The sequence below is a fragment of the Homo sapiens genome, chromosome 10 (genome assembly GCF_000001405.40).
Source record: "Homo sapiens chromosome 10, GRCh38.p14 Primary Assembly".
Taxonomy (NCBI): domain Eukaryota; kingdom Metazoa; phylum Chordata; class Mammalia; order Primates; family Hominidae; genus Homo; species Homo sapiens.
Window position 1 is genome coordinate 84,261,404 of NC_000010.11, and position 17,280 is coordinate 84,278,683.

The 17,280-nt window shown below is 42.7% G+C and overlaps 2 annotated features.

The window, feature by feature from the left end:
* Positions 3,298–3,447: a silencer, noted in NCBI's record as "silent region_2553". NCBI's record gives its function as "represses an Ori minimal core promoter by ATAC-STARR-seq in GM12878 lymphoblastoid cells {active_cell/tissue: GM12878}" and the evidence as "EXISTENCE:reporter gene assay evidence [ECO:0000049][PMID:35858748]".
* Positions 7,813–9,012: an enhancer, noted in NCBI's record as "P300/CBP strongly-dependent group 1 enhancer chr10:86028972-86030171 (GRCh37/hg19 assembly coordinates)". NCBI's record gives its function as "activates an origin of replication core promoter dependent on BRD2, BRD4, P300/CBP, MED14 and CDK7 cofactors, with strong dependence on P300/CBP, by STARR-seq in HCT116 cells {active_cell/tissue: HCT116}" and the evidence as "EXISTENCE:reporter gene assay evidence [ECO:0000049][PMID:35650434]".

A 17,280-nucleotide genomic window follows, 5' to 3' on the forward strand; every position in this document is an offset into this window, starting at 1 on the left:
AGGAATGACCAGAGTCCCGCCTGAAGCTACTCACTTCAGAAGCCCCATGTCGGCCCACACCCCCCAATTCCCACTCATGGAGTGGGCTTGGGGAGACTCATCACCTTCAGGCTCTTCTGCCCATGTTCCCAAGCACTTTTAGGATCTTGTCCCCTGTGACACTGCGTGCAGGGCTTCTTCTCTGCCCTCCTTCCCACTCACCCCACAACCTCCCCTGCACCCCTGCCTTCTTTTAAGCAGCTCAGCTGCCTCTGGGGGAAGAGGACAAAGAAAGTGGCTGAATCCTGTCTGAAGTCCACCTCCCTGTGGGCCCTTGGCACAGTCCCTGAGCTGGGATAGGAATCAGAGTCCGCCCATCCCTGGCACTTGGCCTGGCAGAAGTTAGACCACAGCCCTCAAAGGCCTAAATCCTTCTCAGGCTCGCTTTGCTCTGCGCAACCCCTAAGGTGATGGATTCACAGTCCTCAAGCTCTCTGCTGATTTTCTACAATGAATATGTACCACTTTTGCAATCACAAAAACATGTAAAGAGTAATGTTACTTCTACCTCCTTCAAGTGTTTTATCCCTGGCTGTAGTTGTATGTTCCCTGCAGAGCCTGTGGGCCTCTGGGTTTGTGACACTAATGCAGGAGTCCCCATCCCTGAATGTATATCTGTATATCTGGTGAGACCCGGGGCCCTGAAGGGAAATGGAGATGGTGGGCAAGGTGACTGAGGAAGTCTGATGATGAAGGCGCAGCTGACCCAGGACCGTGGAGGCAGGAGAAAGCAAGCTCCGTCCCACAGAGCGGAGGGGAAGAATAGATAAGCCCCATCAGTCTGAGTTTGCTGAGCGTCATTCCCCACCAGCCTTCCTCTCCTGCCTCCCTCCTAGGCTCCTCTGGAGCAACTGCTCACCCTTTCCTGGGCACCCCTTGGTCTTTTTTCTCCATTCACTTGTGACCCCTTAATGCCACCCCCTGCAGACACAATGAATTTTAGGGGGACACACCAACAAGGTCCCCCCGCCCATGTTAGTCATCACTAGCACCACAGTGCTCTCTCCAAGTTCCGTGCAGCCCTGGAGAACTGGGGCCACATTGTGGAAAGGGGAACAAGAGCAAGGTGAGAAGACTGAGTCTGGAGAAGTCAGGAAGGAAGAAAGAAGGGTGAAAATAGCAGAGACTGTGCTAGAGCCTCATCTGCAGAGCTCGAGGGCTCAGGGCATCTTCACTGGAGGCCCGGGGAACCAGCCTAACTTCTCCTGCCCTGGCCTCTAGCCACACTCTACACTAAAGACCACATTGATATGCAGACACACAGACTGGACTTGGAAGAGGCCACCAGGAGGTGGACGTCCAGAACCAGCAAGCATCAAGCACCAGAAAATGTCACCTCCAGCAATCACTTCCTCATTTGTAAGCCAGCATCCATTTGACCCCCTGAATCCCTGTCTGTGTCACTTAGTTCTGACATATTCACCTATCCATCCAATACGTATCTACTGAACAGCTGCTGTGTGTCAGACACGTGCTCGATGCGACGACGCAGTACCAAGATCCTTTCCAGATACTGCCAGAAAATGTCCACTGCCTCTTTGTCTCTTCGTTACATTTGTGAGTAAAATACAGGTGTTAACAATAGCTAGGAAATCAAAGATAGAAATTACGGTACAGCCATGTCCAAGTAAGTGAAATCAGGTATAATAATAAGGTTATCAAGATAGCCCAGAAATTTCCTTCAGAATCTCTGCAAGTCCTTATCACAAAACTAAACAGTTATCCCTGGCTCTAGATAAATTAAGCGTGCACTCTATGCTTCATTGTGTACTTGATTTAATTGTATTTCAAGAGAATTATCCCCCACTGAATTTCAATGTGTAGCCAATTTTAGCCCCATTCTGGATTTTTAAAATTTTCTGTTTGACTTGGAAATCACCATTTTTTTTCTTTTGTTTCTCTATTTTTTTAAAACCACATAGTCCTATGTAAGAAAACCACCATGATTTCTAAGAACAGTTTTCCCTAAATTGGCATCCACAGAGGAAGGCCCCATAACATGCACTCCTGTAGTGTGACCAGGCCTTGCCATCCCCTCGCTGGGTAACCTTGGGAGTCAAGACCCCCTCTGGCCCATCCCCTCTATCATCTCAGTCCCCCAGGGCTCTGACACAGGCAGAAGATTCTCAAACACTATCGAATTTTTTTTCTCCAAACTAGATGTTTGTGGTGGACTGAATGTTTGTGTCCCCTGAAATACCTATGTTGAAACCCAGTACAGTTAAATGAGGTCATAAGAGCGGAGCCCTGATCCCATAGGATTGTGTCCTTATGAGAAGAGACACCGGAGAGCCTGAGCTCCCTCTTCTCCCACCCCAAGCATATGTCCAGGAAAGACCATGTGAGCTCACTGTGAAAAGTTGGCCCAGCCCAAGGAGAGAGCCCTTACCAGACACCAACACTGCCGGCAACTTGATCTCCGACTTCCAGCCTCCAGAAATGTGCAAAATAAATTTCTGTTGCTTAAGCCACCCAGTCTATGTATTTTGTTACAGCCGCTTTAACAAACTAATACAGTGTTACATCAAAGCTCATCATTGAAACAGATGATAATGGAGGGGACCAACAGCCCAACTGGTGCCCCCAGCCCAGGAACACCCAGTGCCACTTCTGCAGAACCCGGGGATTGTAAAAATCCCATTTAAAAGTTATAAAATTTGGCTTCTAAGATCCCCTCCCACTCTAAGATCCATTGATTCTAGAATGTATTTGAGTTCTTTCACAAAGAAATGTAAGTACCGTAGAATATTATCACCCACCTCATCCTCTTGCTGGGAAAGATGGCTCTGCCTATTGCCAAATGGACTTGACATCACAAATAAAGTAGAAAGTTGTAACCAAGGTAAAGGATTGGCCCCTTCCGGAGACCTTCACTGGCACAATTTTCCTGGGGAGGGAAAGGGCTGTGCATTTGATTGTCTAGCAAGAAAGTAGATACCAACTAGATACTGCCTGAACTATACAGTATCTATATTCCCTGTTAAAGGGAAAAGGGATCCCACAAATTTTCTATATAGATAAATAAATTCATTGGCAAAGAAGTTGGCCTAATTTATTCATATCTTTCTTTTTGCCTCATAATTAATAGAATTTCTGCTGTTCTCCCTGTCAGAGATACTCCTGGTCCAATTCTCTCAAATACAAGCTCACTCTCCTTCCCACCACAACTGTCTCCCTTCTTGTGTTCCCTGTGTATGTAAATATCACTATTATCTGTCCTGTCATCTAAGGTAAATGAAGAGAGAAGGGAAAAGCAGAGATCCGACATGCATAAATACTCGCACTGGGCAGAATGTGAGGGTGGCGCAGTGCTCAGCAGGTACCACAAGGTGGCAGTGCCCTCTCAATGATCAGTACATCCTGAGCTGCCAGCCCTGATGGTAGTGCCTCTCCGCAGAGCCTGGGGGTCTCCTGCTGAGGCCGCGTGGGTGGGTTATTGATTCCTGCAGGATTTCCGACACGTTTTCCTTTGCCTGCTCGTGATACAGACGAAACCTGACACTTAACTGTTTCTACCTCAAATGATGACATGATTCCACATCTCTCTCTTTCTTAAAGGAAACACAGTGTCATGCACGTTGGCCAGAGGAGTCTTTGATGGCCCCATGGAGTCAGTCCCTTTTCTCTGTCTATAGAACAGCCATTGAATGTCTAGCCAAATGGAGGCCTCCAAAGCCCTGCACACCACAGCATTTTGATAAGAGGTCTGGGCCTGGGTTTTGTCTTTGTCTGACTGATAAGTCAGGGCAGTCCCTGGATTTCTCCAACCTGGGACTGTTCATCTGAAAAGTGGTGGTGATTAGCCCTCATGCTGTGATCATAGGTGGAAGAACACTGCAAACTATGGGGTGTGGGGCAGGAGGGTTCGGAGAAGCACCCCACTCCTCAGGCAGAGGCACAATAAATGACATTTGGCAATTGTGGGCAATGTTTCTAAGGTAACGAGGGCTGGGAAAGCACTGGGTGAAGGCCAGAGATATAATCCTTAAGTCTTCCCTCTGTTCTCGGTTGAGGTAACTTGCTGCTCCTCTCTTAAGCTGCTCCTTGGCCCCAACATCACACACCTGCTCTTCCCTCCATCCACCTGGCAGCTCTCACAATGGCCTCCATTATCCCCTGCACAGCATCCTCAGCTCAGCTGCCCTGCCCTCTGCAGCTGTCCAACACATGCACCGCCTTCGCCTTCTAGATCACAGCCAGCTTGGCAGATTGGAAAGGGCTCAGCTTTGGGTGTTGGAAATCCCTGGGCATGAATCCAGGATTTACCATTTATTCAATGTGACAAAGATTCTCTGCTTGACCAAACTCGAGTCAGGCTCTTGAACCTTCTTCTAGGCCCATCTCTGAACTTCCTTGTAACACCCAGTTGTAGCAAAGAACCCTATTAAGTTAGTTTAGCAAGAACCATCAGCCCTGGATATCTGATCAGGTTCCTCAGCCTGCACCATCCCCCAGGTGATTTCTGATCACCCTGGCCTGTCTTCAGCAAGAATCTTGTTCGATAGGTTTAGCCAGAATCCCTTTTATTCTTGATGTTTCATCTTAGTAATTTTCCATCCAGCAAACCACACCCTGCTCCTGGGCTATCGTTTCCGACTTGTCCATCTCTCTCACCCATTGCAACATTCCATTGCAGCTGTCCCTACACCTATAGCGATGGTCCTGAATAAAGTCTTTACCATGCTTTCACAAGTGTCATCGAATAGTATTTTTTAACAAATGTCTAAGCAAGTTCGAGCAAATTTTTTATCTCTGAGTTTGTTCCACATCCACAAGAATGGACTCATTTGGGTGGCATACTTTAAAGCACATGGTACCCGGTAGGTGCTCAATAGATATTAGATATGTTCCATCAGGGACTTCATCATCTACTCTTTGCTGTCACTCAAGAAAAGGGTGTGTAGGAGAATTGTGATAATTGACTGGCGATTACACACCACAAGTGTCCCAACTACTCCCTCATTTAATCCCCACAACATCCTCACAAGCACAGTTCTCAACTTCGTTTGCAAATTTGAATCACCTGGTTCCTGGTGACTCAATGTGTTATCCCTGCACTGGAAGCCCCAACCTCATTTGGGAGCTTGTTCGAAATGTCTCAGGGTTGGGCGTGGTGGCTCATGCCTGTAATCCCAGCACTTTGGGAGGCTGAGATGGAAGGATCACTTGAGTCCAAGAGCTGGACACCAGCCGGGGCAACATAGTGAGCCCTTGTCTCTGTAAATACATACATACACACATACATACATACATACATACATACATACATACATACATACATAAAATAAAAATTTTTTAAAAAGAAATGTCTCAGGCCCTCAAGTCTCAGGGCCCAGCTCAGAACTCCTTAATCCAAATCTTCATTTTAACGACCCCTAGAGTTGGTTTGTGTGCACCTTAAAACTTGAGAAGCCCCAGAGAGCCTTACAGATTATAGCTGTCTAGGTCCCTGGCACAGAGATTCTGATGTGGTAGGTTTAAAGGGCTGGCTGGCTTGGGCTTTTTAAGCTCCCAGGTGATTCTGATATGCAGCCATGAGTGAGAACCACCACTTTTGGGGAGTGGTATGAACAGTTCTGTTTCATGAAGAGTGATTTAACTGAGATTTACTCTGAGTTATCTCTGAGGCCATTGTTTGCTGTTTTATATTAATATATATTTCTCTCTAGGTGTTCATTCTTCTTCACTTGCTCTTGTTCTATGGCTTGCTCTCATCTTTCTCTTACTAATTCTCCCAAATTCCAAAGACCATAGGCCAGCAGGAGAGCCTCAGCCCAAGGCTTTTTATTTTATTATCATGATATCATCCACAAGATAATAGGGCCAGGGCTTTTAGTGGGCGCACTAAAGAATAAGAGGTTAATAATACTGCTGAAGGTCATACAGTAAATGAGAAAGCTTGGTTTGTGCCTCCTGGCACAGGGATTTTTGGATATCAGTGCAGGCAATGCACATCCAAGATGCTGTAGAGCAGCACTTCTCAAACTCTTCGGTGCACACAAATCACCTGGGATCTTGTTAAATGCAGACTCTGGTTCAGTAGGCCTGGGTAGGGACCAAGGATGCATTTCTAACAAACTCCCAAGTAAACCGATGTTACTGAGTTGCAGTGTGTTCAGCCAAAGCAACCGATTATGATCCTAGCTGCTCCTCCATCACTTCCCAGCCTCTGACTGGGTGTTCATTGTCTCTCACCTGCCAGATGATTCAGATCAATGTTTCAAGTTGTGTCATTGGACTGAGCTCTGAAAACCTCCATGCCAGGCCTAAGATGCCACTGGGTGGCGCTCTGGTGCACCTCCCTATGGCATTTCCTGTTGCCGCACAGCTGTTGGGTGTTCACCATTCAACAACAATTCAACAAATATTTATTGAGCCTAACTGTAAGTCAAGTTTAAACAAGACAGACAAGGTCCTCATGAGGGGCTTACATTGTACTGACAATAAACAAGTAAATGTATAAAAGAAATCGTTACAAATTTTGATAAGCACTTTGGAGGACATAAACTAGGGAACAGATAGGGAAGCTGGGAGAGGTGGTTGGGAAAGACCTCTCTGAAGAGGTGATATTCAAGCTGTGACTTAAACGATAATAATAAGGCTGTCAGGTGAGGGCAAAAGGAAAATATTTCAGGCAGAGGGAACAGCAAGTGGGAAAGGGAGTGGCTGTTCGAGGAGAGGCATGAGGCTGGGGCAGAAAGCCCAAAGAGAAGCAACGGGAGACGCAGGGGACATGTCCATCCAGTAGGGCTGGCTGGGATGGGGAAGGGGAACAGTGAGTTTTATTTTAAGAGCAAATGAAAATCTTTGAAAGGTTTTCATCAAGAAAGTAACCAGATCTGGTTTCCATTTTTAACTGATGTCTCTGGCTGCTGTTTGGGGGCTACATTGAACAGTAGAGGCTGAAAATTGAAGTAGGGATTGTTACAATAGTCCAGACCAAAGATGCTGCTGCCTTGAACTAGGTGGTGGTGACGATAACAGTGAGATATGGACAGATTTGTTACACAGTTTTAGAAACAGATGTTACATGACTTGCTAGTGGTTTAAGTAAGTTTATCAGTTTGGGTGCTTTTGATTTCAGGTAACAGAAAATGTAAATATTAACAGTCTGAAAAATAAGTGCAACTTACAGATTCCCACAAATGAAAAGTGGAAGAGTGGAAGCTTCATGCAAGGTTTGATCAGGTCTCCAGGTTTATTTTTCTGTGATTCTCAGGTCTGCCCTTTCTCTCTCCCACTCTCTATGTGTCCATTTATTCTTACGCTAACTTTATTAATAACTCCAAGATGGCTCCTAGAACAATATACGTACATGATTGTGAGTTAGTTCTGTTCACATATAGGAGGAAGCAAGCATCATTCCCAATAACCATAAAATAAAAATCTTGAGTTGGGGCTTGATTCGACCACTTCTAAACAAATCCCTGTTTCCAGGAGAATTAAAATGATAGTTGGCTTAATACTCCCATTAATCCCCAGCTGCCAATGGACTGATTAGCTTAGCTTAGATGGGATTTATTGGAAACCATCACCATAGGTAAGAGGGTGAAATTATTTTAATTTGCTTGTACCAATAAAGGTACGGGTGTAGTCAGACCTACACAAATGACATAGTTGCTGAGTAGTGGGAGAGGGCAGAATGGATGCTGTAGAGAAAATTTCCATTTCCATTTGTAAATGAGGTGAGAATCGAGGACATGGGAGTACATAAGGATGGTACCTAGGGTTTTGGAGGTGCCATATACCAAGATGAGGAAGACAAACCAGGCTTGGGGGAGAATAAATACAGATGCCTCTTAGATACTCAGGTATTTGGATCTAGTGAGCATTTAGGTCTAGTGAGCATCTGGAAATATGAGCAAGAGCTGAAGGGAGTTGTCCTGGGTGTAGTCACATGGCATCATGTAGTCACATGGCAGGTGTGGGACAGAGTGACAAACTTTCAGCCACTTAGCACAGCCTCTCCCTGCCAGCTCGGGAATCAGAAGAAAAACCCTGTGATGAGAAGGTTAGAACTAGTGATTCTCTAAACCAAATAAAGCCATGAGCACCAATATTCTGCTACTAAAGGAATAAATGAAGATCTAAATGAATACATTACAATTACACATCTCTTTCATGTCTTTTGTTTGAGCGATCCTCAGAACAATGAAAGAAAGGTAGCAGGAAGAGAATTTAGAATCCCATTTTTCAGATGAAAAAGCTGAGATGTGCACAGGTTAAGTGGCACCCCAAATCCACCAGAACCTGAGTTTGGAATCCATCCTCTTGATCCTAAATCTAGTCCCCACGCCCTGCAGATCCAAACATCTATGATCAGATAAATCTATTCATGGGGACAATATATCTACAACCAAAGATATTCTATGACTCAAGTCAGCACATGCTAAGAATTTTTCAGATGCTGTGGAAGGTGACTTAACAGGGAGGCAGCAGGTGACATAGAAAGAATCTTGGTCTCCTGGTCAGAACAGACACCCACTTTGGAGTTCCAGCTTTGCTGTTCCCTTCCTGTGTGACTTTGGGTGAATCACTGAATTTTTGTGGGCTGCATTTTCATTTATGATGGGTTGGATTACATCAGTCGTTTTCAAACTTTTTTTAAAAAACTGAAGCAATCCTTAGGTCACTGGTTAAATTCCTGCTGGAAGTAGGTGACTTATGCTTCAGCTGGGCATTGTGGCTCACACCTGTAATCCCAGCACTTTGGGAAGCCGAGCCAGGCAGATCACTTGAGGTCAGGAGTTCAAGACCAGCCTAGCCAACATGATAAAAACCATATCCATTAAAAATACAAAAATTAGCCAGGAATGGTGGCGTGTGCCTGTAATCCCAGCTACTTGGGAGGCTGAGGCAGGAGAATCGCTTGAACCTGGGAGGTGGAGGTTGCAGTGAGCTGAGATTGTGCCACTGCACTACAGCCTGGATGACAGAGCAAGACTTCATCTCCCCCCACCACCGCCCCCACAAAAAAAATAAAAAACCTGAAGCATTTTCTTTGAGAAAAAAACACACACACACACACGAGGAAATATAAATAAATTAAAGAAATCCCAGCATAACTTCTCCTACCAAATGTTTAAGATGGTGAATGGGGATAAGCCTCCTCCCCCATGACTACCACCTTAGAAATCTGCAATCCACTCTGCTTTGCTTTCTAGGAGTCTGTGGGTTGCATCTCTTTTTAGGTAAGTTCTGAGATTGCCTGCCTTCCCCCAGTTCTAATGCCCCAACCACTCCAGGAAAATGGCCTCATAGTCCCTCTCTTCACCCCTGGCCAGTGCCACAGACAGCAGGTGTTGTTCTCTGTTCACAGTGATGTTAGTGCATGAGCCCAATGGATAGAGTACCTTGTTGTTCAGCCTACCTGGGTTTAAAGAAGGCCTTTGTGGAAGCTCAAGCATTAGAAAGCTACAGATAACATTGTTTATCAGTTGCTGTTAGCAGGTGTATTTGCCAACTCTTCTCAAGTTAAACAGGAAGTGATTAAAGGACTCCTTGAAGTTAGGAAGGTAAGAAGAATAAACACTCGTAATTATGAAACAGCAGAGTCTAACCCTTTATTATGGGCTTTCCATGTGTCAACATATCCAAGCCTCTGAACAATACTAAGATTACAATATTATGATCTTAAGTTTTATTATCTGCATTGCCTATGTGAGAAAACTGAGGCTAAATTTATGAAAATCTAGAAGAAAACACAGGCATAAATATTAACAGCCTTGGATTAGTCAGTGGTTGCTTACATACAGTAGCAAAAGCACAAGCCAAACAATAATAAAAATGGCTAAACTGGACTTTTCCAAAATTAAGAACATTTGTGCTTCAAAAAATGCACAAGAACATGAAAATACAGCCCACAGACTGGGGGAAACATTTGTAAATTATATATCTTATAAGTCACTAATATTCAGAATATATTTTAAAACTCTTATAGTTCAATAGTAAAAGGACAAATAACCAATATTTTAATGGCCAAAGCATTTGTATAGATATTTCTCCAAAGAGTTACACAAGTGGCCAATAAGCCCATGAAAAATGCTCAACTTCGTTAGTTATTAGAGAAATGCAAATCAAAACCATAATGAGATGTCATTTCATATCTATTAGAATGGCTGAAATCAAAAAGGTCAATAATAACAAGTGTTGGCAAGGATGTAAAGGCACTGGAAACTTTATACATTGCTAGTACGAATGTTAAATGGTACAGCATTTTGGAAAACAATTTGGAAGTTCCTCAAAAAGTTAAAAATACAGTTATCATGTCCTCAGCAATTCTACTTCCAGGTACATGCCCAAGATAATTGAAAACATACTTCTACACAAAATCTTATATACTAGTATTCATAGCAACATTATTTACAATAGACAAAATGTGGAAACAACCTAAATGTCAGTCAACTGATGAATGGATAAGTAAAATGTAATTTATCCATAAGAGGAAATATTATTCAGTCATAAAAATGAAGTATTGATGCATGCTACAATATGAACAAACATTGAAACAAGCCAGACCCAAAAGATCACATGTTGAATTATTTCATTTATACAAACTGTCCAGAATAGGAAAATGTATAGAGACAGCAAGTAAGTTAGTGGTTGCCAGGGGCTGGGAGAACAGGAGTTTGAGAGGTGATTGCTACTAGGTATGAGGCTTATTTTGGGGATATTGAAAACATTCTGAAATTAAATAGTGGTGATGATTTTATAACTTTTTGAATATACTGAAAACCACTAAATTGTACATTTTAAAAGAATGAATTCTATGGTGTATAAATTATATCTTAATAAAAATTAATAATTAATTAATTTAGTGAATTAATGGAAAGTGCAATGGGAACTCAGAAAAGATGAAACTCAAAAGTAGCAGGAGGGATCCAGAAAGGCTTCCCTGAGGAAGTGACACAAGTTCTCCCCTTCTTAACTCTCAAGGCCCTGAAGCATAGTACATGCACAATTATTTTCAAAACTAATGTCTCAGCAGAGTAGAAAGGTCCTACTTCACATCCTGATACTCCTTCCCAGTGCCTTCCTCTCCTCTATACAGGCTTTACGTAATAATCACAAAATCCCCCAGCCCCATCTGTTCACCTGTTTTTCAGTAGAAGCTTCTTCTACACCTAAATACATTTTTAATTGTCATTTTTAAATCAATTTCTAACAGACTTTTTGCAAAAAATTCTCATATTTTCCCCATGTTCAAGTTTGGAGCTGGGTGGGAAAGGTTGCTTATAGGGATGTAAAGGAAGGGGGCTACTAGAGACTGAATGTCAGGGTGTAAAGGGCATTATTCCGTGACTTGTAGCATGGAAGCATGGTGACGAAGCACTATGCTTCAGCATAACACAGCCACAGAAGCAATGCTGGTAAGGATGTCATGTCCCAATGCCAGGATCCATTAGGAGTGTATTGATCTGAATAGGAGACAGAAGACAGAAACAATCCACTGGCAGTGGTGGAAGCCTCCAGGCGGATGGATGAAGGACAGATTTGGAAATGGGCAGTGCTGGGAGGAACGGAATCGTAACTCAAGGTCCTGAAGCAGAGAATGTTCACATTTAGAACAGGAGGTGGCTTCCCCTCTGGATTTCTGGACCTTCATATTGCTGAGGTTTGAGAAAATCATACCCTTTGGGGTATTTTTGAGATGAAGGTAAAGGCACTGATTGAAGGCCATTGGAGCTTAAGTGATAAATGAAAGGGAAGGAATGATATGACATGAGACTAGACAAGAGACAGGATCCAGAACACAGAAACCCTTACAGGCCAGGTTGAGGATTTGGGGCTGACCGGGTGCAGTGACTTGAGCCTGTAATCCCAGCACTTTGGGAGGGCAAGGCAGGAAGATCCCTTGAGCCCAGGAGTTCGAGACTAGCTTGGGAAACACAGCAAGACTCTGTATCTACAAATAAAAAATTTAAAAAATTAGCTGGGCATGGTGGTGCACACCTGTAACCTCAGCACTTTAAGAGGCCAAGGCAGATGGATTGCTTAAGCCCAGGAGTTCGAGGCCGTAGTAAGCTATTATTGTGCCACTGCGCTCCAGCCTGAGTGATAGAGGGAGAGGTTGTCTCAGAAAAAAAAAAAGGATTTGGGGCTTGATAGATGCTCAGTGTAATTGGAGGTATTAAAAGGGTTTAAGCAGGAGCTGATATAATCCAATTTATATTTTGGCATTGTGGTACAAAGAACCATCCATCCATCCAGGTGGAGGGGATGCAGGGAGTCCAGTTGAGGCTATTTATGGACAACCAGGTGAAAGATGGTGATGGTTTGGACAGTAGTGGTGGTAGTGGAAATGGAGAAAAGAGTAACAGAAGGTGACTGGGCTTATGGGGAAAGGGCATGAGTTCTGTCTGGCATTGTTATGGTTGATGTGTCTTTGTGACAGCCAAGTGGAGATTTAGAGAAGGTGATTGAATATGAGAGTTCGCAGCTCAGAGAAGTCTGGGTGGGGATATAGATGTGCAAGTCTTTGCTATGGAGTTGGTAACTGAAGCCAGGTTTCCCAGGAAGAGGTTTTAAATGGAAGAGAGAAAAGAGCCTGACTGAGCCTTGAGGAATCCACTATACTGAATAGCCTGGTGGGGAGGAAGAGTCTGCAAGAGGGACCAGAATGAGTATCCAGAGCACCAGGAAGAAAGCCTGGAGTGAGAGTTTCCCAAAGTATAAGGAAGAGGTTATTTCAAGAAAAAAAGAATGGTCAAGTAAAGTAAGGGTGGATGAATGCCCACTGGATTTGGTGACTTGGTGGCCTTCATTGACCTGAGCAAGAGCTTTCAGTGAGGGGAAGAGAATAGAAGCCAGACTGGAAAGATAAGTGCTTGTTTTGCCAGTCATGGAGGCACACACCTGCAATTCCAGCACTTTGGGCTGAGGCGGGAGGGTCATTGGAGGCCAGGAGTTTGAGACCAGCCTAAGCAACATAGTAAGACACTGCCTCTATTAAAAAAAATTTTTTTTCATAGAAATGAAGTGTTCGTTTTGAGAAATTTTGACTGAGATAGAAGAGAGAAACAAAAAAACACAAGGGAGGGGAGGTCCTGTATGCTTTTGTTTAACAAAGTGAAGCTTGAGCAGGTTTAAATTTTCTTGGGAAAAGTTGATTGAGAAGTAATTGAATATATGGGAAAGATAAGCAATAATTAATGGCATAGGGTTCTGAAAAGAGGAAGGGGGTAGGACCCCAGGCAGCAGGAGAGAAAGGCTGAAGGGGGCAAATTTTGATTTATTTGTGGGATTGGTGTTAGAAATTTGAGGAAATTCCCGTTCAATGACTTCAATTTTCTTTGAGAAGATGAAAATCTGCTGTTAACAAAGCAGGAAATAAGATTGTCAGAAGGTTGAGAGAATAAGAGCTTAAGATAATAGTTGAATTTCACGGAAGAGAATTGCAGATGCCACATAAGCACAAGAAGAGATGTTCAACATCATTTGGCATTAGAGAAATGCAAACTAAAACCACAATGAGAGAACTGCTTCCAGGAAAACGAAATAGAGGAACCCTTCCCTATTCCTCCTGCTAAGTGCCACTAAACACCCTCGACGTTTTATGTATAAAACAAACACAGGCGACTGAAAGACGCAGAGAAGGAAAAGCTGCCTAGAGATCTCAAGATGGAAGAATGACACAGTGGCGAGTTCTCTGGGTTTTCTTTTTGCCTCATTTATCCCACATTTGAAACTAAAGAAGAAGCCAGTAGCTCAGTCAAGATAATTAGTGCAGCAAAAAAAAAAAAAAAAAATACAGCCCCAATAAAGGCCTGATGTGTTTAGCCAAATAAATGGGAAAAGGGCAGCCTTTAGGCATAGCTGTCCCACTCCAGCAAAATTCCATGGAAAAGACCATGGCCCCCATCCCCACCAGCCCAGCAAAGGTTGAATGGGGAGCCTAGACTTCTACTCTGTCAGAGCTGTAAAAAGGCAACAAAGACCCCTTTTGAGATGGTGTCAGGTAAGTCCAAGTAGGGAACTGAGACTTTTATGCTCAACAATCAGTAATGAGCCCACCCCAAATTGTCAGTGGAGACCACATGATCAGCCTGGACTTCCACTTCTATCTGGCAGTAATGAGGGGCCCTCCCCCAACCTCAGATGTCAACAGAGGCCAGGTAGAGAACCTGGACTTCTACTTCTACCTGGAAGTAACAAAGAGGTGACCCCTCCTTCCCTTGCCAGAAAAGTGCCAGGGAATCCCAGCTAAAACAGAAAGTTTAAATAAGATCCACAGGCTCATATTATAGGAAAATATCCAGATTGCAAGTGAAAATTACTCATCATATACAGAACCAGGAAGATCTCAAACTAGATGAAAAACAAACAATTATAGATGCCAACACTAAGATGAGAAAGAGATGATTAGGATTATCTGACAAAGACTTTAAAGTAGCTCATATATATATATATATATATATGTATATAGTGTGTGTGTGTGTGTGTGTGTGTGTGTGTGTGTGTGTGTTTTGAGACAGAGTCTCGCTCTGTTGTCCAGGCTGGAGTGCATTGGCCCAATCTCGGCTCACTGCAGCCTCTACCTCCCTGGTTCAGGCAATTCTCAAGCCTCAGCCTTCTGAGTAGCTGTGATTACAGGCGTGCACCACCATGCTGGGATAATTTTTTGTATTTTTAGCAGAGATGGGGTTTCACCATGTAGGCCAGGCTGGTCTCCAACCCCTGGCCTCAAGCAGTTTGCCTGCCTCGGCCTCTCAAAGTGTTGGGATTACAGGCGTAAGCCACCACACCCGGCCAATATTTTAACAAACAATTTGGAACATGCATGAAACAAATGAAAAGAATTAGAAAAACTCATCTAGGAAACAGATTATATAAAGAAAAAACTCTGAATGGACTCAACCGCAGAATGGAGGGGAGAGAAGAAATATTAAACAAAATAAAGCAGGAGCAGCTATACTAATGTCAGATAAAGTAGATGTCAGAGCAAAGAAAATTACCAAAGAGAGAGAAGAACCCTATATATGATGAAGTGTAAATCCTCCAAGAAGACTTAATAATTCTGAAAGTGTATGCACCAAATGCTGGAGCTGAAAAATATGTGAAGCAAAAACTGATGGAATTGAAAGCAGAATGAAGCAATGGAAACTTCAACAACTCCCTCTCAATAATTGTGAGAACAACTAGGCAGAAAATAAGCCAGGATGTACAAGAACTCAACACACCATCAAGGAATGGTATCTAATCAACATTTATAGAATGTTCCACTCACCAGCAGCAGAATACACATACTTTTCAAATGCCCATAGAACATATACCATGATAGGTAATATTTTGTGTCATGGAGTGTAGTGGCATGATCTCAGCTCACTGCAACCTCCGCCTCCCAAGTTCAAGCAAATCTCGTGCCTCAGCCTCCCTAGTAGCTGGAATTACAGGCATGTGCCACCACGCCCAACTAATTTTTGTATTTTTAGTAGAGACAGGGTTTCGCCAGGTTGGCCAGGCTGGTCTTGGCCTCCCAAAGTGCTGAGATTACAGGTGTGAGCCACCACACCTGGCCAACAAATTTAAAATAACTGAAATGATATAGAGTATGTTCTGTAATCATAATGAACCAAAATAGAAATCAACAACAGAAAGATAACAGGAAAATCTTCCAACATTTGCAAACTAAACAAAACACTTTTAAATGATTCATGAGTGAAAGGGAAAGCATCAAGGGAAATTTTAAAAATGCATTTAACTGAATGAAAATTAAAAAATAAAACATATGAAAATGCATAAGACACAGCTACATTAGTGCTGAGAGGGAAATTAATAGCACTGAATACATTCATTAGAAAAGAGAAAAGATTTCAACTCAATTATCTAAGCTCCCACCTCAAGAATCTACAAAAGAAGAGCAAAATAAACCCAAAGCAAGTAGAATAAAGCAAATAATAAAGATGACAACAAAATTGGCTGGACGCGGTGGCTCATGCCTGTAATCCCAACACTTTGGGAGACCAAGGTGGGTGAATGACCTGAGGACAGGAGCTCGAGACCAGCCTGGCCAACATGGTGAAACCCCATCTCAAATAATAATACAAGAAAATTTAGCCAGGCATGGTGGTGCACACCTGTAATCTCAGCTACTCCAGAGGCTAAGGCAGGAGAATCACTTGAACCCAGGAGGCGGAGGTTGCAGTGAACTAAGATTGTGCCATTGCACTCCAGCCTGGGCAACAAGAGTAAAACTGCATCTCAAAAATAAATAAATAAATAACAGCAAAATCACTAAAATTAAAAACACAAATCTACAGAAAACCAATAAAACAAAGACCTTTTTTTTTGGAAAAGGTAAATTCACAAAACTCTTGTAAGACAACAAAGAATAGAAGAGAGAAAACAAAAATCTCAAATATCAAGAATAAAACTGAGATATCTCTACAGATCCTGGAGACAGCAAAAGGATAATATGGAAATACTATAATCTACACTCATAAATCTCCAAGCCTAGATGAAATGGATCAATCCCTCAAAAAAGCACAAACTACTACAGTTCACCCAATATGAAATAGATAATTTAAATAGCCCTTTAGCCCAGTGCGGTGGCGCTTGCCTGTAATCCCAACTACTAGGGAGGTTGAGGCATAAGAATCGTTTGAACTTGGGAGGCGGAGGTTGCAGTGAGCTGAGATCATGCCACTACACTCCAGCATGGGTGACAGAGCGAGATTCCCTCTCAAAAAAATAAAAAATGAAAACAAAGTTACTAACCCAACAACTATTAAGTAAATTGAATTTATAATTTCCAAACTCCTAAAAAAGAAATTCCAGACCCAGATGATTTTATTAGTGAATTCCATCAAATGTTTAAAGAAGAACAAATACCCATTCTATGCAATATTGTCTAGAAAATGGAAGCAGAGGAAACACTTCTCAATTCATTTTATGAAGTTAGTATTAACCTTATACCCAAACCAGATATGACAAGAAAATAAAACTACAGACCAATACCTCTCATGAATATAGATGCAAAAACCCTTAACAGAATATTATCAAATAGAAATTAACAACCTACAAAAAGGATTATATACCATGATCAAACAGGGTTTATTCCCAGGGATACATGGCTAATTTTCATATGGGAAAATTAATCATTATAACCGATCATACTAACATACTAAAGAATTTAAAATCCCATGATCATATCAATAGATATAGAAAAGGTACTTGACAAAATTCCACACCCGTTCATAGGAAAAACTCAGAAATATAAGAATAGAGGAGAACTTCTTTAAC